At 38.0% G+C, this 22,787-nt stretch overlaps 2 protein-coding genes, 1 long non-coding RNA gene and 1 pseudogene across 8 annotated transcripts, besides 5 other annotated features; 2 read left to right on the top strand and 2 right to left on the bottom strand.

Moving 5' to 3' along the window:
* On the bottom strand, positions 1,137-3,840 carry GPR15 (G protein-coupled receptor 15). Its single transcript, NM_005290.4, has one exon. The coding sequence runs from the start codon at positions 3,782-3,784 to the stop codon at positions 2,702-2,704; it is 1,083 nt and encodes a 360-aa protein (NP_005281.1). The 5' UTR covers positions 3,785-3,840; the 3' UTR covers positions 1,137-2,701.
* Positions 3,820-3,979: a silencer, noted in NCBI's record as "silent region_14557". NCBI's record gives its function as "represses an Ori minimal core promoter by ATAC-STARR-seq in GM12878 lymphoblastoid cells {active_cell/tissue: GM12878}" and the evidence as "EXISTENCE:reporter gene assay evidence [ECO:0000049][PMID:35858748]".
* Positions 6,910-7,453: an enhancer, noted in NCBI's record as "NANOG hESC enhancer chr3:98247209-98247752 (GRCh37/hg19 assembly coordinates)". NCBI's record gives its function as "activates a minimal SCP1, AML or CMV promoter by ChIP-STARR-seq in naive H9 embryonic stem cells {active_cell/tissue: H9 hESC(naive)}" and the evidence as "EXISTENCE:reporter gene assay evidence [ECO:0000049][PMID:30033119]".
* CLDND1-AS1 (CLDND1 antisense RNA 1) lies at positions 9,931-13,248 on the bottom strand. Its single transcript, NR_198998.1, has 2 exons — positions 12,985-13,248; positions 9,931-10,607 (listed from the first exon to the last, which is right to left on the bottom strand). It is a non-coding gene; the product is annotated as a CLDND1 antisense RNA 1 (long non-coding RNA).
* RPL38P4 (RPL38 pseudogene 4) lies at positions 10,470-10,790 on the top strand (annotated as a pseudogene).
* Positions 11,338-11,467: an enhancer, noted in NCBI's record as "active region_20137". NCBI's record gives its function as "activates an Ori minimal core promoter by ATAC-STARR-seq in GM12878 lymphoblastoid cells {active_cell/tissue: GM12878}" and the evidence as "EXISTENCE:reporter gene assay evidence [ECO:0000049][PMID:35858748]".
* Positions 12,670-13,309: a silencer, noted in NCBI's record as "silent region_14556". NCBI's record gives its function as "represses an Ori minimal core promoter by ATAC-STARR-seq in GM12878 lymphoblastoid cells {active_cell/tissue: GM12878}" and the evidence as "EXISTENCE:reporter gene assay evidence [ECO:0000049][PMID:35858748]".
* CLDND1 (claudin domain containing 1) lies at positions 12,916-20,335 on the top strand. 6 transcript variants are annotated; one of them, NM_001040182.2, is made up of 6 exons: positions 12,916-12,969; positions 14,122-14,165; positions 14,376-14,685; positions 16,823-16,933; positions 18,629-18,766; positions 18,939-20,335. In NM_001040182.2, the coding sequence occupies exons 1-6, from the start codon at positions 12,963-12,965 to the stop codon at positions 19,157-19,159; spliced, it is 831 nt and encodes a 276-aa protein (NP_001035272.1). In that variant the 5' UTR covers positions 12,916-12,962; the 3' UTR covers positions 19,160-20,335. The 6 variants fall into 6 exon arrangements, with proteins under 6 accessions (NP_001035272.1, NP_063948.1, NP_001035273.1 ...); NM_019895.3 differs by having other exon boundaries at positions 14,115-14,165; NM_001040183.2 differs by lacking the exon at positions 14,122-14,165 and having other exon boundaries at positions 14,381-14,685.
* Positions 13,360-13,469: a silencer, noted in NCBI's record as "silent region_14555". NCBI's record gives its function as "represses an Ori minimal core promoter by ATAC-STARR-seq in GM12878 lymphoblastoid cells {active_cell/tissue: GM12878}" and the evidence as "EXISTENCE:reporter gene assay evidence [ECO:0000049][PMID:35858748]".
* Positions 20,336-22,787: the final 2,452 nt, after the last annotated feature.

Here is a 22,787-nt window from a genome sequence, read left to right as displayed (position 1 = left end):
CCTGAGTAGCTGGGATTATAGGTGCCTGCCACCATGCCCTGCTAATTTTTTGTATTTTTAGTAGAGACGGGGTTTCACTATGTTGGTCAGGCTGGTCTTGAACTCCTGACCTTGTGATCCACCTGCCTCGGCCTCCCAAAGTGCTAGGATTACAGGCGTGAGCCACTGCACCCAGCCTATGATTTTAAAAATATGCAAAATGTCAGACAACTAATTTGTAATAAACTTTTTAATGCTATTATAATGTAAATTACATTTCATACCAGCAGAATCCATATATGACAAAATAACATGTGAACTTAATCAAGCTTTGAACTTTTTTCTATTAGAGTTGTACTACCTATAAAATTATATCTATTTTTTTCTTTCACAACTGGTACATTATGAATGTAAAATAAACTAAGATTTTATTAAAGCCTACAATTATTATATCTATTTAAAGTACTAAAAAACCAATAATACATATTTTTATTTGGTGTTATTTTAAATATTCTCAGCAAAATTAAAGTGAAGAAGTAGAAATAAAATCTCAATATTTTAAAAATGAGAATGATTAAGTATTATTTGATGTTAGTTTGAAAATTTGTAAGGAGTAGTCAATAATTAATAATAGAAATCAAATCACTTTATAAAGTAACTTTTTACTCCACATTTAAAACTTTATTTATATTTATTATTTTTACAGTATCCTTGATAATTCTATAGACATAGATATTACCAACTACATTTAAGTATGAAAGGTTAAAATGACCTTACTAGTATCACAACATTAAGGGTGAAGCTAAAATTAATAGCACAGGTTTTCTGCTTTCCCAACCAATAACTTAGCTGATTGATTCAGCTATTTTTTAAAGGCAGTATTTTTCAAAGGCAGTAAGTTTCATGATTAGTAACAGTGCTTTTGCCGATTTGTTTTAAAGAAATGTGTGTCTTCTACCTTCTGTATTTTGTTTTTGTTTAACTTTTGGAGATCTATTCAATTGCATTGAATTTAGTTTTGAAGTTTTCCAAGAATATTTATTTGTTATTATTTACATGGTCTTTTCTTCTATAACCATAATAATTTACTAAAAGTTTATTAGAATTAGTATTAATATTAATATGTTGTTAGAAATTAATACAGTCCAGAAGAATACTTATGTAAGGAAATTATATTTTTATTTAATAACAGTTTAAGAAAAATTAACAAGTTAGCCAATTTATAAAACCAAAAACTGTATTTTCAGCTTCTAATTAGGCTACAAGGAGATGTCCGATATTTGAGGTTTCTCTTCATGTGAAAGATACATGAGATGAAATTAAATTGGCTAGTCTTTGAAAGGATTCTAAGTTTTTTCTGATTTTCAAATCTAATATTTAGAAGTAAAATGGTAATTCATTCAAGTCAACAGTGGAGGTAAAAACATAACCCGCTTTCCCTTGAATCAAAAGATGTTTACAATAGCATGCTTGCTGCTGCAGAGTCTTTTGTGGTTGCCACTAATTACATGTTTTTCACATCAAAGTCTTCAAAAGGAATATAGGTACAAATTGACTCAATAAATATTTATTGGGTAAAGGAATTCAAGAAGGTTTCTGGGTATGGAAAAAATATATATAAAATACTAGTGAGATCTTTGTTAGAGATTTTCTACTTTGGCTGAATACAGAGCAGCCTGTCTCCCTATATTACTGGATCTTATCTTGAAATTATAGGCACCAAGCAAATGATACTATAGGGAATGTGTAGCACTAACATTTTAATTAAAATACAAAATGATAATCTGCATCGGGGTACAGCTAAGCATTTTATGAGTTCCAATTATATTAGTAATAACATTTTCATTTGATAACTAGATAACTGGGTAATTAAAAACATGTAATTAAAGCAAAGTCAAATCCTAATTTATAAAGCCAATGGAAACAAAAGAGCATAGTAAAACCCCATTAAAAAGTAGTTGCTACACCATTATGAATGAGATACATTTTTATCAATATCTTATAAAGCAAATAGATGTTGAATCCTGCCATATGCTTATGTATTAAAATACTAGAAGACCATATGATAAAGTAAGTCCCAAATCATAAACACAATACAAAATCCCCATGAGTTTTTTTTTGCCAGTCCAAAGCCATTGTGAATAGGCATAGGATGAAGCACAATGTTGGAAGATGATGAAGAATCACGATACAAAGCTTTAAAGATTGAGGTCAGAATCTAGCTTAGTAACTCAGAAACAATTAATTGCACAGTGCAGGTATATTATATTTTTGTTACCTGCATTGTTACTGCATTTCTCATCAGATGAAAGTAGGCAGAATCATTTAAATGTAGTCCAATTTAGAGCCCAGTATGAAGGGTGGTGGGGATGAAGGTACCATGGTTTTTGAGAGAGGAAAGGCCCAAATGTGCATTAACAATCATGAAGAAAGGGACTGGTTCAAGCAGGAGCCTTTATCCAGGAGTTCAAGGACAGATGGGAATTGGATTTTGTCTGGTGGACTTGATTGGCAAGGGTCGAAGAAGGCTGCTTAGCTGAGAAAACAGCACATGGCCTAATTATATCCACAACACAGGGATTTTTCAGTCCTCTCTTTAAAAATGAACTCTTCCTTGCATCTATGAAGCAATGTGAATCCTATCATTAACACTTCCTTCTTTGTTGCTGACAAAAATTAACTCCTAAACCCACCAACAGAGCTTGAAATGTCACAGTTCCCTTTAGAGTGACACAGACCTCTTCCTCCTCCTGGCAAAATCTTCTGCATGAATGAAGGTGGAGAGAGCCTTAGTGAGGTGACTATCTGATGTCTCAGTGCTACTCCCAAAGTCATAGTTTTTCAGGCAAGGGCACAAGCAGTGGACAATGGCCCGGCGGATGTAGCTGTCGAAGATATAGTAAATGAAAGGGTTGACACAGCTGTTGGCAAATGCCAAGGGTCCACTCACCTCCATACCAAGCTGAAGAATAGCTGAGGGTAAATAGTGTTCTTGCCGCAACCCAGAGACAATGGCCAGGAACTTGAAAGTATTGAAGGGCAGCCAGGAGACAAGAAAGGCTGCCACGACAATAAAGATGATCTTTATAGATTTCTTCAGCTTTTTGTTGTGCTTTCCTGATTGCTGGTAATGGGCACACAGCTTCCTTGCAATGCAACAGTAGCAGGTCACAATGCTCAACAAAGGGACAAAAAAGGTGAAAATTAAGGCCACCAGGGACCATATGAGTTTAATTGGAGTTGCCTTTTTCTCTGCACAGTATGGCTTATCATCAATCAGCGTGAGCTCCCTGGACAGAAGAGTAGGCAACCCCAGCAGGCAGGAGATAAACCAGATGCTGGCACAGACTACATATGCACAGTCTGTCCTTCTGAATTTCCTGGATACGACTGGCCACACAATGGCCAGGTAGCGGTCAACACTCATGCAAGTGAGCAGGAGGACACTGCAGTGCATATTGACGGAGATCATGTAGGAGCTCCCTTTGCACAGGAAGGAGCCCGTCCTCCACAGTCCTAGAGATGCTTCTTTATCCACCCAGAGAGGCAATGTGACAAGAAAAATGAAGTCAGAGGCAGCCAGATTGATGATAAAGATGTCGATCAGTCTTCGGCTGCCGGGTTTGAAATGCAACGCTCCCATGAGAACAAGGTTCCCCAGCACTCCAGTCAGGAACACAGCTGTGTAAAAGACTGGAAGGAAGACAGAGGTGTAAGGAACATGGGAGTGGGTCTCCCTGATGTCAGAGTTTGGGCTCGTAGCATAGTAATAATCCAAATAAACTGAAGTTTCTTCTGGGTCCATCACCAAAGAGCAGATGCCAAATCTGGTGAGTTTACTTACATATGATGTTTTTGTATAAATTTTAGAAACCTCAAGGAAGCTTCTTTTATACAGTGCCTGCCTCTCTCTCTCTTTTTTCCCCTCCCTTTAAAGATCTTGGACAAACATGAAAGCCGAGATTAAAAAATGCAGTTTCTACCAATCCTCAGAAAGGGCACACAAGGAGCACCACTCTGATTGGTGTTGGTTGGTTGTGGTTGTGGTTTTTTTAATTTGCATTTGCTCGTGAAACTGAGGTGCTTTTTGAGTTATTTTTTCAAGATATTCAATTTATTTCTTTAAGGCCAGTAATTAAGAAGTGAATTAACTTGATTTTTTCACTTCCTTTAAAGACCTCCTTTGCTTTTGACACTGAAATTTATTTTGATCTAGCCTTCTGTTTCACATAGAAGATATTGTTCTGCTTTTAGAATTGTAAGGCAATGATAATGTATTCTTTTTATTTACTTTGTTGGCGAACTAGGAAGAAAACTAGTCTTTCATTGTGTAAAGAGTGAATGAAAAGTTTCCCAAATCATACCAGTATACAACTAGGTCAAACAACATGATTCCATTTAGGGCATGAGAGTCTCCCCATCTATGTGGCTCTTTCATTTGACATGTAGTCAATCCTGTTTCATAAGTTTTTAAAAATCCCCCCCCAAAGACTGGGACCACGTTTTCTGCTCTTATTATTTTAAGTTTTCCACTACAACTTGCATAGCATCTTGCATATAGTTGGTGCTTTGGAAATTGTAGTTTATTAGGTTTGATTCAGAAAATTCTTTTTGTTATCCAGCATATCTAGTAGAAATGAATTCATTGGGGTCTAACTTCAGGTATTGTTGTTATTTATGTAACTTACAAACACAGGTTTAACAATCTCAAGTTGCTATTTTTACCCTCCTATCTGCTATTGTAATTCAACCAGTGAAGTTCTCTTTTGTTAAGAGTTAACATCATTGATTAGGAGATTTTCTCCCTATTAACCCTCAAATACGCTTCATCAGACTCTGGATCCCCTCTGATCTTCTCTTCATTATACCACACCTGTGTAGCACTGATTTTTTTAGCTTCTGAGCCATGGCCTTCTGGTACCTCCACACATGGGTGAACATCACTTTTGGAATTGCTGATTGCTGATCTGGCAACAGATATACCTATAAGTGACATCATGATGGAGGTGCCAGCATGGACACTATAAAAGGGAAGATTTTTTAGTACATTTAAAACACTTGGGGAACAGGCTAAAACAGAAAGAATTCTATCACATTTTTCTCTCATATGTTTCCTTTTATATTATGATGACCATAGTAAAATATAACACATTTTGAAACGGACTCCATTTATTTCAGCTCTTTACTGGTCAAAGTGACTCAAGGCTCTCTTGCACTATTCTTCTCTCCTATCTGATTTAATCTTCAGAATTCTAGTTTCAGGTTGATATTGCTATTCATAGAAAAATGTATGTTTGTAGATGAAAATATAGTCATTAAACATTTGAAGTCCTTTCTTAAGTTGTTTTTTCATTTGTTTGTTTGTTTAATTTTTGAGACAGGGTCTCACTAGGGTCTCACTTTGTCACCCAGGCTGGAGTGCAGTGTCTTGAACACAGCTCACTGCCAGGCCCATGCAATCCTCCCACCCCAGCCTCCTGACTAGCTAAGACTACAGGCATGCACCACCATGCCCGACTAATTTTTGTATTCTTTGTAGAGACGGGTTTTCGCCATGTTGCCCAGGCTGGTCAGGAACCCCTGAGCTCGAGCAATCTATCCGCCTTGGCTTCCCAGAATGCTGGGATTACAGGCATGGGCCACCAAGCCTGGCCCTACTGAATTGTTATTTCTTCAGTAATTAGTATATTAAAAAGAATCATCCTGCCGGTTGTACTTCCTCCTTCCCTCTTCCTCCTGATATGGTCTAGTGTCACCTGAGTCTTAGGCAAGTAAGCTGAGGTCAGGGAAGGATAAAGGCTCCTCTGACCTGGGACAGTCCCAGAAGTCACTCTGGAGTTGATTTGTGGGCCTGAGCCTGCCTTCTCCTGTGTCCCTGGCTGCTGTGCGCAATTCATTTAATTTCATGGAGGGCATATTCTTTACTAAATATAGACTACAGATCAGAGAAACTAATTAACCGCTTTGACATTTCTGGGACAGAAATCTTTCCCACTGGGTAAGCTTTAATTATTTAATAGAATAATTCATTTTGTCAAAAATTGAAGTAGGACAATATTTACTCAAAAAAGATTAATAGGGTAATATAGAATATTTAAACATATCATCTATATCTGTGTGCCTGTGTGTTAAAGTACTAATCATATATATTCTTTAAGTGTACTGAAATTTTAATATTAGAATTTTGTACCCTACAATCATAAGTTCTTTTGGCATTTGAGAAAATAAGGTTGATTCTGGGTCTACGGTTTTTCTTCTTTTTTTTAATCCTTTGATATGTCTCAAGAATTCAACATAAAGGTATTATAAAATGGAAAAAGAGTTCATGCTCATACTGTAGAGGAAAATATTTGGCTGCACATTCATTCTGTATCCCTTAAATTTTTTTTTTCAAATTTCAAAAGTTGCTGGACCGCTGATGTAAACTATCTCAAATCCAATTTCCTCAGCAAACTATTGAAGCAGTTGTAGATAAAATAGTTTGCTTTATCATTATGTGGCCACCTTGAAGTATGATATTTAATGGTAGAATGTTACAATGTGAGAATACCCACCTTGGATCAACAGCATCTTTGTACCCAAATCAGAAAACAAATTAAATGTTTTAAGCCAAAAACGTTCACATAGCATAGTGCCAGTCTTTTAGTACCTCAGAGTACAATGCTAGTACAAGACAGAATCCACAATAAAGCTGGCTAAAGTGGGGTTGTAAATAAGCTGGTGCAACGGTCAATTTTAGGACTTTGAGTTTTCTTTAAAATAAACATGAAGATACTAACAATAAAATAGAAACCTACACATAGATCAAAACTCAAAAGCAACACTGGGTTCCATAAACATATGAAAAGTCAATGTAAACAGAATGATGGCAAAAAAAAAAAGAATAATATATAAGTATTAGTAACTGAATTAGAGCATATATGCCACATCTTTGGAATTCTTTTTCTCAGAAAATAACACTCAACTTTCCTCCATGACTCCTGGCAGAAATAACTGCTTCTTCCTTTGTATTTCCTAAGAACTTTAAAAATACTGGTTACAAAGTACTTGTCTCTTTTCACACTGTTAGTTGTCTTTGTATCTGACCCCTGGAGCTGATAATGAGCAACCTGAAGACAGAGTCCATTCATTATCTCTGGACTGGCCTCTAGCATACAGAAGTTACCCAACTAAAGTTCTTTTAGGACTCTTAAAGCCATTGTTTTGAACCTGTGGATGCCAGATCGTTTTACCCAGATTAGAGTCATCAGGGACACCTGCTGAGCTGTAGATTGCCAGACCCTATTCTAGATGTCCTCAGTCAGAATCATTGGGGAAGAAGTCTAGGACTTTATATTTAACAAGCATTCGAGGTGATTCTTATACACACTAAAGTTTAGAATCACTGTTCTAATTTATATAAGTTAACCAACATTATATATTATGCTTTGTTATTATTTTGACTAATTTTTAAAAAAGGCTTAAAAGTTACCTCAGAATTTGAAATTTGTGGAAGTCTTTTAGTCTGAATATCACAAAATTTGAGGAATTAATTTAGATTTCTAGGCCCTGCTTATTCTATGTTCCAATTCCTGAGTTATGCTCAGAACTGGTTCAGGTGTTGAAGATGAAGACAGAGAAAGGTTTTCTCTACTGAAACATCTGCTTGAGTGAATCCATTATTATTTGCTGTGGCTTGCAGCCTCTGCTTCACAAGCAGGCTGAAGATTTAATAATAGAGCCACCCCTATTAGGCTTATTGAACTTATGATTATATTACTTCGGCCTCTTCCCTGTCAACCACCATATCAGGTGGAGACTCATCAGATTACATGCATATAGCACAGAAGAAAGAAATCCCTGGATACGAAGCCTTTGATTCACACATGCTCTGCTGATATGTCCCAGAATAAATGGCAAAGAGCATGAAGCAACTAATTATTTCTCATTAATCTCATCAGTCAAACGGTGTCATTATATATTCACTTGTTAGATACATTATCTTGTCCATTTCTTAAAGTGCAAAGTCAAATAGTTAAGTTTAAGAAAAACGATTATACTGTTTATACTCTAGGAGTTTATTTTTATTTTTAAATTCTCAGTTACTTGGAGAATTTAGTACTATATAATGTAATATCACATCATGCCAAACTAAGTGGCACGTATTCATTATTATGAGGGCCCCCCACTTAATTTACTGGCTTATTTCCATTGGTAACTAATATATAGATAGAAATGATGTTACTATTCTAGGAATATATACTTTAGATTTCTTCGAAATAGCAGATTTAATCTGAATTTAGGTTGTGCATAACAAAAATTATGTTTATTTATGTTGGTGTCCTTGGCATCCAGCAGAGTGTCTGGCAAGCAATAGATGGTCAATAAATGATTATAGATCTGGGATGAATCATGCTTGAATTTTGAGTTATTTCCGCAGAGTAGGGACTTTTCACAAACTTCTTAGACAGCTTCCATTTTCTATTCAGTCCTGGGATCTTTGTCACATCATAAACTAATATGAAGAGATGTTTCTAAGTTAATGCAGCACATTTTTTGTCAACTTATGCTTATGTTTTCACTTGGCACATCTTGTTGAATCAGAAGCAACTTGCAAACCAATAAATGTGAAAAATATCATTATCATGGCCTCATAATAAGTATGACGGATAGTGATGAGAAGAGGACTCTCTCAATGAAGACTCTTAAGTTTATTAATAATTAAATTAATTGATTATATTAGTTTCTTATCTGCAATAAGATTTTTTTTTGAAAAGTTATTTTTGGGAGGCCCACAATTCATACTCATAACTCTATACTAATAAGTGTCAATTAGAAGAAATCAGAAAAGTTTCCTTCCATAATTTTACCTTCATAATTACTGTTAATCTTTGAAATAGCAAGGGCTGTTTTTCGGTACCTTTTCTAATCAGAATGCATATAGTCTTCCTCCTTTTCCTTTGCAATCTACATTTGCCACTATCTCTGCTTCTAGTACATTGCCTAGGCTTGAGGTATAGGGTATATAAATTCTGCAATGAAACTCTAATGCTGTGGATCTATGAAAAACCGTATTTTGTAGTTGCATTATTCTTCTTCCAGTAGAATTATAAACTGTAAAATTTTAGAGCTTCAAGTGGTGTTAATGATCATTAGTACAACTGTTTTACTAAAGAGGACCCTAGGGTCCAGAAAGGGGTCATTAACCAAAGATCCATTGATAATTTTTAAATAAAGGATAATTTAAACTTAAACTTCTCATTTACATATGGGTCATTCACTGTCTTTCAGAAGCATGGGCATCTAAAAATTATAGTTTTTTACTATATGTGGCACTTTACAGGAATTACTAAAAAAAAAAAGGAGACATTTTAGGTGCACTTTTCTATTTGCCTTGATCTTGATTCTGTTATTGTTCTACAGTGAATGGGTGCAAGGAAATTCAAAGATAGGTACATTTTTAAAAATGGTTTTTGGTTGGAACCCAGAATTGTACATATTCCCATTTTTTTCCTTTCTGAACTCCAAAGTTCACAAGGGAAACAACCAGAAAAAAAATTACATGAAGAAACATAATGTAAATATATCTTATAATGTAGATATAACTTTTAGTTCCTAAAAATGTGCAATTAAAAATAAAATATTAAATGTATTGGGGAATTTAGTATTGATGGAAATTCTAGTGTGAAGGGTTGTTTCATAAGTACATAATAAAAACAAGTTACAACATCTGAGTATCTAGATTTTCAGTTATCGGTTTTATTTTAAATGTGCTATAACTATAATGCCTTCCGGTTGAAACTAGAACCATCTTTAACAAGTTAAGCTAGATGTCTCATTTAACTTCGCTTTTAAACCTAAATTCCATAATCTCTACATGGTTGCACAAAATCATCTTTCATATTTGTGAAAATATAAGGCTAGCTACCGTTTCTCAAACAGCAGAGTAAGAAGCAGAAGTAGAAATTTAGCTCCATTAATTAATTAAGGATTTATTTTACCTACTCATACAACAAGCAAGCATAAATAGAAATTAGGAAACACCAAAGATGCAGAGATAAACCAGAAATACGGTTGTGTGGTTGGTGAAACTGGGTGTGAAGAGGCCGTTCAGGTCCTCTCTCAGGATGATCAAAACCACAAACACGTAGAGACACCTCCAGGTTCACACTAGGTTGGTCAGTGAAATGCGTCCTGAGTGTTTTCTAGGCATTCTGAAGACTTGAAGGGTGCAAGTGTCATCCTCCTTTGCAGGTCTTCCCAGAAACATCCACCTCCTGAGTCATGGCGACTTGTGTATGATACGATCCCAGGCCTGGGAATCTCCTGAGAAGGGTTAAACAGGGATGCCCAAAATACTAGCCCTGGCAAATTTTTCCTAGTCATTTGGTGGTTAGTCCAGAGCTTCTCAAACCTGCTGAAGCGAGCAGGAACACCTCTCTGTATAAATGGCTTATCTCCATTTAGGGGTAGCCTCTAGGGTTAATCCAGGAGCTTTAAAAGCTGTCTGTCTTTTTCTGTCCTGTTTTTCCCGGTCGCCGCACGCTGTCCCGGTCCGCGCCTGCTCCCTGCGTGCCTTGTCGCCATGCCTCCGAAAATTGAGGAAATCAAGGACTTTCTGTTCACAGCCCAATGAAAGGATGCTGAATCTGTCAAGATCAAGAAAAATAAGGACAATGTGAAGTTTAAAGTTCGATGCAGCAGATATCTTTATACCCTGGTCATCAGTGAAAAAGAGAAGGCAGAAAAACTGAAGCCAGTCCCTGCCTCCTAGTTTGGTAGTGAAGGAGTTGAAATGAACCAGCCACACTGATTTGAACTGTATTAGAATACAAAAAAAAAAAAAAAAAAAGACTGTTCTCACTAAGCTTACTCAAATATTATATTCAACAAATATTTGCAAATACTAATAACTTAATGATTCTTTCCTAAACCTCAGGTCCTGTGCTGGGCGTTTTATATGTTTTTCTCAATCTTCACAATGATCATGTGGGATAGATGCTACTGTCAACATCCATATTTTGGAGAAAAGACAACCGAGACTTAAAGAAGGTTAATTCTCCAAAGTCACAAAATGAGTATATTCAAGTGTGTTACCATGGTAGTCAGTTACTCTAATATCCAAGTTTGCTACCAAGTCAGTTACTCTCTCTAGTTCCTTTATCTGTAGACTGAAGTTGTTTCTTCTCTCTCCTTTAAACTTCTCTTTTGCCTGGTTTACTGACCACATGATCTCAGTGGAGAGGTAAATCTGAAAGTGGGGAATTTCTTTTTTTGAGGCAGAGTCTTGTTCTGTCGCCCAGGCTGGAGTGCAGTGGCGTGATCTTGGCTCACTGCAAGCTCCGCCTCCCGGGTTCATGCCATTCTCCTGCCTCAGCCTCCCAAGTAGCTGGGACCACAAGCGCCTACCAACACGCCTGGCTAATTTTTTTGTATTTTTAGTAGAGACGGGGTTTCACCGTGTTAGCCAGGATGGTCTCGATCTCCCGACCTCGTGATCTGCCGCCTCGGCCTCCCAAAGTGCTGGGATTACAGGCGTGAGCCACCATGCCCGGCGGAAAATAGGGGATTTCTAATGAAGGCCAATGGATGAAGACATTTCCTGGAGTATAAGGGCATTTATGTGTCTTACTACACATTGACAATTTGCCTGTGCCTCTCCATCACTTTCTCTAGTTGGTGCCTCTGACAAATTTTTTTTTGATTATATGCTGTATATGAAAATCCAGAGTCATGTTTGAATATATTTGGCTACTACCTTATTATGTGCTGCATATGAATATCAGTTTCACCCACTCAGGTCAAAGAAATGTAAGTACAGATAGAGAAACATATCATGCCTTTAATCTGTCAAAGTGGTAGAAATTTAATATCAACTTGCAGCTCCCATCTTTCTCCTATGCTAAATTACAAGGCATTAGGGGACAGAGTGGGGGTTTGAGAGCCCCTCTGGTCCTTGAGTCAGCTTTCTCTGTCGGTTACTGTTGAGAAATCCACCATTTGCTGGTCCCAGGCCACGTTAATAGTTCCACTCATGTTATTGTTAAGATGTCCCTGCTTCCTGTCCATGAATTTCTGTGTTAAACCTGAGGGTTCAGAATCATTGTTGCCCCTGTGCCACACATCATCTGCAATCTCCAATGCTGTCCATGACCTTATCTGCTTGAGTGATGTTCCCCAAATTTCAGTCTTTTTCCTACTATACCCACAATTTTTTATTCATTTTTTGACATATCTGGTATCCTCAGTATTATTAACTTAATAGTTTTTAAAATAAGTGAAAAGAATTTAAAAGGAACAACATTGCTGCAATAGAAAACTAGTATCACTTGTCATAAAAAGAAGGCAGCTACAAACACATTTTATGAAACCCAAATAATATCATTACATTCTTGATGGATACTGTCTGCCAGGTCACATACTTCTTAGCCTAAACTTATGCAATAAAACCAGAAGGATGCTCTGCTCCAATGGGAGGGATTCTGGGAGAGGGAAATAAAATGGGTCAACGTTTCACAAGTAGAATCCCATTTTTGTTCATTTATACTTAGATCTAGAGGCAGGGTGGTGTGATAGGGAAAGCACAGGCCTAAAAGTCAGATCTAAGTTATACAAGTCACGGTCATTGACTCGAGATGACCGGAAACAGGCCCGCTTTACTTTCTGGACCATTCTCCCTTCCTCCCTAAAATGCAAGAATCCAACAGCCTAGACTTCCCTTCTGCGTACCGGCTTGCCCTGAGGAGCTGAACTACATCTCCCACAATGCGCCGCGCGCGGCGCCAGGAATGCCTATCGCCGCCTCAGACAGCTTTCAGTCTGTCCCTCCTACAACTCCCACAAGGCCCCTCGGCCCCGGGCCGCGGCCCGGCCCGGAGTGGGGGCGGGCGGAGGCGCGGGAGTTATGGAGGGGGCGGGCTCTGCAGGGAAGTGCGTCAGAGGAGGCGCGGGGAGAGTAGGGTGCTGTGGTCTGAGCTAGAGGGTGAAGCTGGCGGAGCAGGAGGATGGGCGGTGAGTGAGCGGGACCTGCGTCGCCGGGCAGGGGTCGCGTCGCGGTTCCATGTTCCCGGCGGTTTGAAGAGGGGCCCCCTTCCCGGGCGTGGTCGGGCTGGGCGGGTTCCGAGCGGCGGATTTGTCCCAGGGCCGAGCCCTCTAGGGCGGGGCCTGGTCGGGTACCGGGGGACCCTGGCCCGGGGCCGAGCACGGCTGCCCCGCCCCAGCCCTGGCCTTCTCCGGCCCCGCCGTGAGGCCCAGGAGGTGGCTGCTGCAGGCGTCCGGCTTGGACGAACCGCCGTTCCCAGTGCTGGGACCCTTTAAGGTCATTTGAGAGCACCAGGATGAAGGGGGGATTTTTAAAAAATCAAAATACAAATCCAACTTTTTGAGTTTTCGTTGTCATTGCTCTTATCTTTCCTGAGTCACTTCCCATTTTCCAAACTCAGCAACCCCAGTTTGCGAGTCTGTTTTCATGAACCTTTGTAAGGTGTTTGGTGCGGTCACGGTGTATACTTGCCGTGTAGTATTTGACTCAGCGCGATCTGCCTTGAGTCATTTTACCGCGGCCATTTACTACTGCCGTTGAGCCCTGTCCACGCCTTGGGAGTGTTGATATGTTGAGAGTTTTCTGTCTGGCTGAGGAGGGATCATTTAGTTTTTGCGGACGTATGTTGCACTGAGGATTTAGGGAGAGAGCAAGATTTCTGTTGAGGAGGTTCAGAAGTATAAGGAATCGGGAGAGTAGATAGGAGTGAAGCATTTGGCAGCGTAAAGAAGCTTGGCTTAGCTTTAATGGATTAGGGAGAGATTGCTATCTAGCATTATTACATGTTATTGTTCTCTTTGCTATTTTATACACCTAGAACAACCTTTCCCTCGGGGTTAACAAACATCTTCAACTCTGTTTTCTGTATGGCTCCTGACTCTTACCTTTGTTTTAGGAGGCTTCCCTCTTCAGAGGAAACTGGGAGAAGCCAATTTCCACTGCTTCTTTTTCCTGTGCCTTTTTAACACTCAAACCCAGAACACTTAATCCTCTGCAGCTCGTGCAAAAATTCAGTCTGTAATTTAAAATGTGTGCACGGTACACTGCTGACCATGGGCATGTCTATTGTTTGTATCTGTAATGTGTATGTCCATTTCAGTGTTGTCTGTTTTAGTATGCAGGTGATAGACTAGAGAACAAGACCTCTGTCTCCGTAGCATCCTGGGTATGTGAGCATTCAATAAGTACTTTTATGAGAATGAGTTTTGTTTTAAGCTTAATTAAAAACATGCTTGCTTTCTAAAAAAAATTCTTAATGGTTATATGTACGAAGGGATGGGGAATTGGGTAAAGGGTGCATTTGGAATAATTCAAAATAATCTTTCTTATTTGTCCGTAAACTCTAACTTATCTTCTTTCTTCAACTTCTAAACAGAGCAGTCTGAATGCCAGAATGGATAACCGTTTTGCTACAGCATTTGTAATTGCTTGTGTGCTTAGCCTCATTTCCACCATCTACATGGCAGCCTCCATTGGCACAGACTTCTGGTATGAATATCGAAGTCCAGTTCAAGAAAATTCCAGTGATTTGAATAAAAGCATCTGGGATGAATTCATTAGTGATGAGGCAGATGAAAAGACTTATAATGATGCACTTTTTCGATACAATGGCACAGTGGGATTGTGGAGACGGTGTATCACCATACCCAAAAACATGCATTGGTATAGCCCACCAGAAAGGACAGGTATTTCTCTTATTTTAACTTCTGTCTTCTTCACCTGGTTAATAATAGACAAAACGACGTAATGATTGCCCAATTACATGTAAGCAGGTTTGTTGGTTCTCTCTCTCCTTAAAGAAATAAATCGTGTATCTTCTCTTTCTACTGCCTTCTCTCCCCAACTTCTTTGCATTACCATGGTACTCATCAATATTGGTTGGATGAGGAACTTTTCTTATCTTGGGAAAGCCTTAATGGCTTTTTTTTTTCTTATTTACTCACTCATTAAAATACTTTTCATTACTCTAACACATGTTATAAAGAAATAGTTGGAAAAGTACATCGAAAGACTTTTAAAAATATTTGGTAACTAGTAAAAGGACTACCATCGAAAATCAACTCAAAAAATTGTCCTTTTATGGGTTAGCTGTATTATAATACATATCTATCATTTGCCCCTGTGTCTTAGAGGATATAATTTGACCAGCTCTACATTTAATCTGTGTAATTATGAGACTGTTTTACAACAATCTTGATGCAGAGTTGGTAGGTTAAGAAATTTGTATTACAGAAGTTAAAAAAAAAAAACCAAAAACTAGATTTTTAGGTTTATTTTACAGGCATTCTTATTTAACACTTAAAGATTTTGATTTCCAGTTATTAAAATGGTAGCTTTAGAACTCTTTGTAAGGAACAACTTTACAGTTTATTTATGACTACTTCTGTTGGCCCCTTAGTGGGGAAGCATTGTATTCAAATCATAGCAGAACAGGCTTGAGTTATGATATATCAAAAGGATGATAATATGTCACTGTATCTGGAAAAAAAGATAATTTGGAAGGAAAGGAGAGAAAGTTGGTTAAAATTCATTGTAAAATGTTCAGTTTGACTTATGAGGTTACAGGAGCACTTGATATTGAAATTGGAGTTGGAATTGGAGTGTTACCATTTAGTCATTCATTAAACAAATAATTTATTGCATGTCTCCATGTTCCAGGGCCTCTTAGCTGGGAGAACATCAGGAAAGAACAAAATCCTTACTCCTGGGGAGCTAGCATTCTAATAAAGGATGACAGGCAGTGAACAGAATATAACAGTATAAACAGAATAAATAATTATTCAGTATGTTAAAAGATGACATGTGCTATGGCAAAATAGAACACAAAAGGGATTTGGAAATATGTGGGAAAAGGAATATTGGTGGCCATAGGTTATGATTTTCAATAGGATACTTAAAGTAGGTCTCATTGAGAAGACACCACTTGAGTAAAGAATGTAGTTAAAGACTAGACAAAAGAGTTGGCCATATGGGTAAATGGGGAGGAAGTCATTTAGGTTGGAAAGGACATCTACTGCAAAGGCTCTATGGCGGGAGCATGCCTGAAATATTCAAGGACCAGTAAGGAAGCCACTGGGCTGGAATGGAGGGAGAGACGGGAAGTTGGGTATGCTGTTAAAGACCTACTTTGGGAGTGGGACTGGGGCAAATCCTGGAGGACTCTAGGCAGAATGAGAACTTTGGTGTTGACTCCAGATACAGTGCTGAGCCCTGATCTGGTCACCCTGGCTGTTGTGAGAACAGAGGCAGCAGACAAAGGTGGAAACTAGAAGACTATGGTTAGGAGGTTATAGAAGTAATTCAGGTTAAGTGATGATTATGACTCACACCAGAATGGTAGCACTGAGCAGCAGCTGGATTCTGGACATAGTTTGAAGGAAGAATTCCTGGGATTTCCTGATGGAGTGTAAATGTACAAGAATTACTCTAAAGTTTCTGGTCTGAGGAACTGGAAGTGTGGATTTGGCATTCCCTGAGATGGGAATATGGTTGATAAAGCACGGTTGCATGAGAAGATCAACATTCCTATTTATTTCAGTCTTTGTTCCCTCCCCTTCTTCCTAGGCTTTCTACATAGCTATTCTGCCATTCATTTTACTGCTTCCACTTTATTTTTCTTCCTTGTGCCTATGTCTTCAGCCTGCCACTGAGAACCAGTGGCATCCATTGGACATCTATGAAACCTGTGTGTCAGTCAGGGCCAGAGAAGTTGCTGACCCCTCTGGAAACATCCTTTACTGTTTTACTTCAGAGAATAATTACTGAAAGAGATTTTTGTTAAATGTTTATAATTAAAACAACAGGCAATTGTTCTTGTTCCAGAGTCATTTGATGTGGTCACAAAATGTGTGAGTTTCACACTAACTGAGCAGTTCATGGAGAAATTTGTTGATCCCGGAAACCACAATAGCGGGATTGATCTCCTTAGGACCTGTGAGTACTTTGATTTCACCAGGACAGTTGGGGGAACAAAGATAATTTTATTTGTCTCTTTTTGGACTATGTTTTTGGAATAAGATGAGTTAGTAGATTGTGCCAACGTGAAATAAAATCTCTAACAGTATCCAGTGAACTCTATTCTGTTGATATTTTAGAAGGTAGATACATGCTTACCAAATTTCAAATGATTTGAAGTTGACAGGGCCAACTACTTCATTGGATGATGGGATCTAGACCTTCAAAAGATGTTATTAATGGGCCCATTTAGTAAAAGGAAATTTAGTTGAGATAACTTATACATTCCTATATTTGAATTAAACACTTTCCACTGCTTGAGTTCAGGTAAGTATATGTGAAAAAAGTTTACTGCAAGCTCTAAATGAGTCAGTGAGTTGTCAGGCCTGTCAAAAGTGTTTATCCAGTCTTAGGTGATAGTAACAAAAGGGTAGATGTCAAAAAAGATGAAAGTATTTATTAGGAACAACCTATTCCCTGATGGTCAGGCAGCCCATGAAATACTGTCTTCAGATTTGAGCCTCAGTTTTCAGGGCTATAGGGACTTGCCCAGAAGAATGACCATGTTGTAAGAGAAAAGGTTGAATAAGAGGTAGGTATTCAGTTTTATAAAGAGAATGTGTAGCAAGCAGTTTATTACTAGGAGAGTTTGAAAGAAAGTAAGTTAGAAAAACACATAAGAAGTTCCAGAAAGCAAAACCAGCACCAAAAGGTGTAAAGTTTAGTCAAGATTGATATGAATGCATTTCTAATAATGAATATTATTGGAAAATGGAATGGCATGTTTTGTGAGGTCATCAGGTTTTCTTCCCATGTTGATGAGAGATTTATGATAATTAAAACTACCTTTAGATTCTCTGCTTTGTGCTTTATATATATTCTTCAACAGCCCTATAAGACAGGTCATTTATAATTACCATTAATTTACTTGTTGTTACTGCCTTTAGATCATATAAAGACCTAGATATTGTTGGTAGGTAGAGTCAGACTGATTTTTGTATCAAATCCTGGCTCTACCACTTACTGTGTTATTTTTACAAGTTATTTATGACTCTTGCCTCAGTTTCCTTAATTACAAAATGGAATTAATAATAATACAGCTGTAGCTATGGGGGATTGGATTCAGGACCCCCTGCTAATTCCAAGGTTGCTAAAGTACCTTATATAAAATGGCATAATATTAGCATATAACCTACACAATCCTCCTGTATACTTTAAATCATCTTTAGATTGCTTATAATACCCAATACAATATAAATGCTATGTAAATAGTTGTTATACTATATATTTGTAAATTTGTATCATTTTTTTTTCTGAATATTTTTAACCCTTGGTTAGTTGAATCTGCGGATGTGAAACCTGCAGATATGGAGGGCTGACTGTACCTACTTTCTAGGGTTGTTGGGAGGATTAATACAGAAAATGTGTAGACAAACATAGCATGGAACATAGTGAACCCTCAGTAATTGCTACTACCTGTTAGTGTCCTTTTACTTTTATCAGGACAAGAGTAGCATCCTTTTGAATAATGTGCTTTAGAAAAGAGGCCTCAATGTTAAAATACTTTCACACTTTTTGAGAAAAGATCTAATTAGAATATGAAAGAAATTGCCATTGCGGGGAAAATGGTCTGAAATCACGGTAACATTTCTTTTCTCTCTTTTTAAAAATCAGATCTTTGGCGTTGCCAGTTCCTTTTACCTTTTGTGAGTTTAGGTTTGATGTGCTTTGGGGCTTTGATCGGACTTTGTGCTTGCATTTGCCGAAGCTTATATCCCACCATTGCCACGGGCATTCTCCATCTCCTTGCAGGTAGGTTTTGTCATCATACTTACCTTTTAGCTTCTTCCTGTCTCTTTAGGGACCAAAGAGTTATAAATCTGAAATGTTCACGTATTAACTGCCCTGTCACATTGCCTGAAAAGCTCTTTACTGTGCTTTTATCCAGCCATGTTTTGTTTTGTTTTCTAAATTTTCCCCCAAGGTCTGTGTACACTGGGCTCAGTAAGTTGTTATGTTGCTGGAATTGAACTACTCCACCAGAAACTAGAGCTCCCTGACAATGTATCCGGTGAATTTGGATGGTCCTTCTGCCTGGCTTGTGTCTCTGCTCCCTTACAGTTCATGGCTTCTGCTCTCTTCATCTGGGCTGCTCACACCAACCGGAAAGAGTACACCTTAATGAAGGCATATCGTGTGGCATGAGCAAGAAACTGCCTGCTTTACAATTGCCATTTTTATTTTTTTAAAATAATACTGATATTTTCCCCACCTCTCAATTGTTTTTAATTTTTATTTGTGGATATACCATTTTATTATGAAAATCTATTTTATTTATACACATTCACCACTAAATACACACTTAATACCACTAAAATTTATGTGGTTTACTTTAAGCGATGCCATCTTTCAAATAAACTAATCTAGGTCTAGACAGAAAGAAATGGATAGAGACTTGACACAAATTTATGAAAGAAAATTGGGAGTAGGAATGTGACCGAAAACAAGTTGTGCTAATGTCTGTTAGACTTTTCAGTAAAACTAAAGTAACTGTATCTGTTCAACTAAAAACTCTATATTAGTTTCTTTGGGAAACCTCTCATCGTCAAAACTTTATGTTCACTTTGCTGTTGTAGATAGCCAGTCAACCAGCAGTATTAGTGCTGTTTTCAAAGATTTAAGCTCTATAAAATTGGGAAATTATCTAAGATCATTTTCCCTAAGCATTGACACATAGCTTCATCTGAGGTGAGATATGGCAGCTGTTTGTATCTGCACTGTGTCTGTCTACAAAAAGTGAAAAATACAGTGTTTACTTGAAATTTTAACTTTGTAACTGCAAGAATTCCAGTTCAGCCGGGCGAGGATTAGTATTATTTTTAACTCTCCGTAAGATTTTCAGTACCACCAAATTGTTTTGGATTTTTTTTCTTTCCTCTTCACATACCAGGGTTATTAAAAGTGTGCTTTCTTTTTACATTATATTACAGTTACAAGGTAAAATTCCTCAACTGCTATTTATTTATTCCAGCCCAGTACTATAAAGAACGTTTCACCATAATGACCCTCCAGAGCTGGGAAACCTACCACAAGATCTAAAGTTCTGGCTGTCCATTAACCTCCAACTATGGTCTTTATTTCTTGTGGTAATATGATGTGCCTTTCCTTGCCTAAATCCCTTCCTGGTGTGTATCAACATTATTTAATGTCTTCTAATTCAGTCATTTTTTTATAAGTATGTCTATAAACATTGAACTTTAAAAAACTTATTTATTTATTCCACTACTGTAGCAATTGACAGATTAAAAAAATGTAACTTCATAATTTCTTACCATAACCTCAATGTCTTTTTTAAAAAATAAAATTAAAAATGAAAAGAGACTCAATTGTATATAGAGTGTCTGAATTGATTTAAATCTCAACACTTTAGGATAAAGAAGTGGAGGCAATCTCTGTGGTTGTCTGTGCAAAGTGCATCTTGCTGTACAGGGCTGTCGTTACATCCTGTGTTTGGGTCTCTTGTTTGATCTTCTGGGAAATGTAGGAACCCCTTCCCCCTATTAGAAATAAGAAAATCTTTATCTTTTATTTTTCAGAATTTTAAACCATGTTCTCAAAAGTAGTTTTGTTATCTCTACATGTCATACTTAATGTGGCTAGTTTTCAGTAAAGTCATTTAGTGGCTGTGGATGTTTGTGTTCTATAGTAAATAACCAAGTCAGCTTCTGACTTAGAACAAAGTCAGCATTACTCTGTAGCCAATTATTGCCTGTGAAATGACTGGTTACTCAGGTTTCTATCTAATCTTAATTCTTGAAGATTCATTACCCTTCAGCGCCTTCTGTGGAAGGTGGAAAAGAGAAAAGCTAAATGAACAAACAAAACACCTTTGGGAATGGGATAAGAAAATTTTTGGCAGCATGACATTTTTGTATTGGTCAGTTATTTTAAACAATGTCCCTGCCTCTTAATACCCCAGAGTTACATGGGAAGCTACTAGCACCATAACCCCTGGTGCTGCATTGTAGTTGGTATTTTTAGCATGTTGCAGGGTAGCTGAGGTTATCTTTCCTGCAAAGACTTTTTTTCTTTGGAATATATAGGGCTGTATTGTTCATTTAAATGTGAAACTGATTCTAATCAGGTTGAACCATATGAAACTGCAGATATTCAGCCATTTTTGATCAACCTAATAGATAAAATCAGTGGCAAGGCGAACCCTATTTAATCTTTGAAAGCAACCCCCAAAGTAAAAAATTAATTTTCAGATTTTTCAGAATGAATTTTTTTTTCTTTTGGGGTGGAGTTTCACTCTTGTTGCCCAGGCTGAGTGCAATGGTGCGATCTTGGCTCATCACAACCTTTGCCTCCTGGGTTCAAGCGATTCTCCTACCTCAGCCTCCCGAGTAGCTGGGATTACAGTCATGCACCACCATGCCCAGCTAATTTTGTATTTTTAGTAGAGATGGGGTTTCCCCATGTCGGCCAGGCTGGCCTTGAACTCTCGACCTCAGGCGATCCGCCCGCCTCGGCCTCTCAAAGTGCTGGGATTACAGGCATGGGCCACCATACCCGGCCTCAGAATGAATTTTGTGGCAGTTTAACAAATGTGTTTTAAGACTTTGATTTTATAGCTCCTAACTAAATGATGTGGGTAAATATCCTCTATGATTTTTAGCAAAAGACTCATTTCAAAATTTATTAAGTATAGCCATAAAACACAATTTGGCACAACAACAACAACAACAAAAAAGGAATTCTAGAATTTATTCAGATAACAGTGTGCCTTCTGTCTGCATCATATTACACTAGGATTTCAAATTTATAATCTAATGGGAATGTGTTAAAATTTTACCTGCTGTAGTTGTGTGTGTGCACATGCACACGTGCGTTAAGGGAGAGGATAGGGTTGACAATCACTCCTAGGTGAACTCATTTAGTCATATGATTTGAGAAGAATGAGATGACCACAAACCATATCAATTTAGTTTGTTTTTCCATTCCAGAAACATCACCAAATTGCAGACTAGCACAGTTAAAACCTATAGACCCTGTCATGTTCAATTGACTATAACATATATAGATCGGGCCATTTTAATACTTAGCCTTCATATAAACTTTCACCAAAAATGAAAACCTGTTAACCTAATTTTGCTGATTGAAAAACTTTCTTTTTTGTGAAATGGAGTCTCACTCCGTCACCCAGGTTGGAGTGCAGTGGCCCAATCTTGGCTCACTGCAACCTCCGCCTCCTGGGTTCAAGGGATTCTCCTGCCTCAGCCTACGGAGTAGCTGGGATTACAGGTGTGTGCCACCATGCCCAGCAACTTTTGTATTTTTAGTAGAGATGGGGTTTCACCATGTTGGCTAGGCTGGTCTCAAACTCCTGACCTCAAGTGACTCACCCACCTTGGCCTCCCAAAGTGCTGGGATGACAGGCGTGAGCCACTGCACACGGCCTGATTGCAAAACTTTCTGAAATTCTCTAGCAGCTAAAAGAGCAGTTAATGGGTGCAGCTCTGAAGATGCAAATTGTTATTTCACAAGCTTGATGCAGCTGTGTCCTGGCACAGATGGGTGGAGGCTTTTGTCCTCCTTTCAGCACTCTTCTCAAAGGGAACAGTGATTCATACCTTGAAAAGTGAGGAATAAACAAGGAAACGGATCTAAATTATTTTTCTACTGCTCATCAGGTGTTCTTATACTCCATCGTAATAAGATACATTTTTCCCTGGGGCCAAATTACATGCCATCATCCTGCAAATTCATGATGTGAAAATGCTCAATTGTAAAAAGAGTAACAATTATTTGCCCTATAGAAGAAGTTACCATA

Source organism: Homo sapiens, chromosome 3 (genome assembly GCF_000001405.40).
Source record: "Homo sapiens chromosome 3, GRCh38.p14 Primary Assembly".
Taxonomy (NCBI): Eukaryota; Metazoa; Chordata; class Mammalia; order Primates; family Hominidae; genus Homo; species Homo sapiens.
This window is presented reverse-complemented; position numbering and strand designations above follow the sequence as displayed.

Bases quoted from the DNA above. Each gene is read 5' to 3' on its own strand.
- GPR15 (NM_005290.4), bottom strand. From the start codon at position 3,784: ATGGACCCAGAAGAAACTTCAGTTTATTTGGATTATTACTATGCTACG.
- CLDND1 (NM_001040182.2), top strand. The intron at 14,166-14,375 runs GTATGTGAGCAT...ACTTCTAAACAG, and splicing joins CTGTCTCCGTAGCATCCTGG to AGCAGTCTGAATGCCAGAAT. The intron at 14,686-16,822 runs GTATTTCTCTTA...TTCTTGTTCCAG, and splicing joins TAGCCCACCAGAAAGGACAG to AGTCATTTGATGTGGTCACA.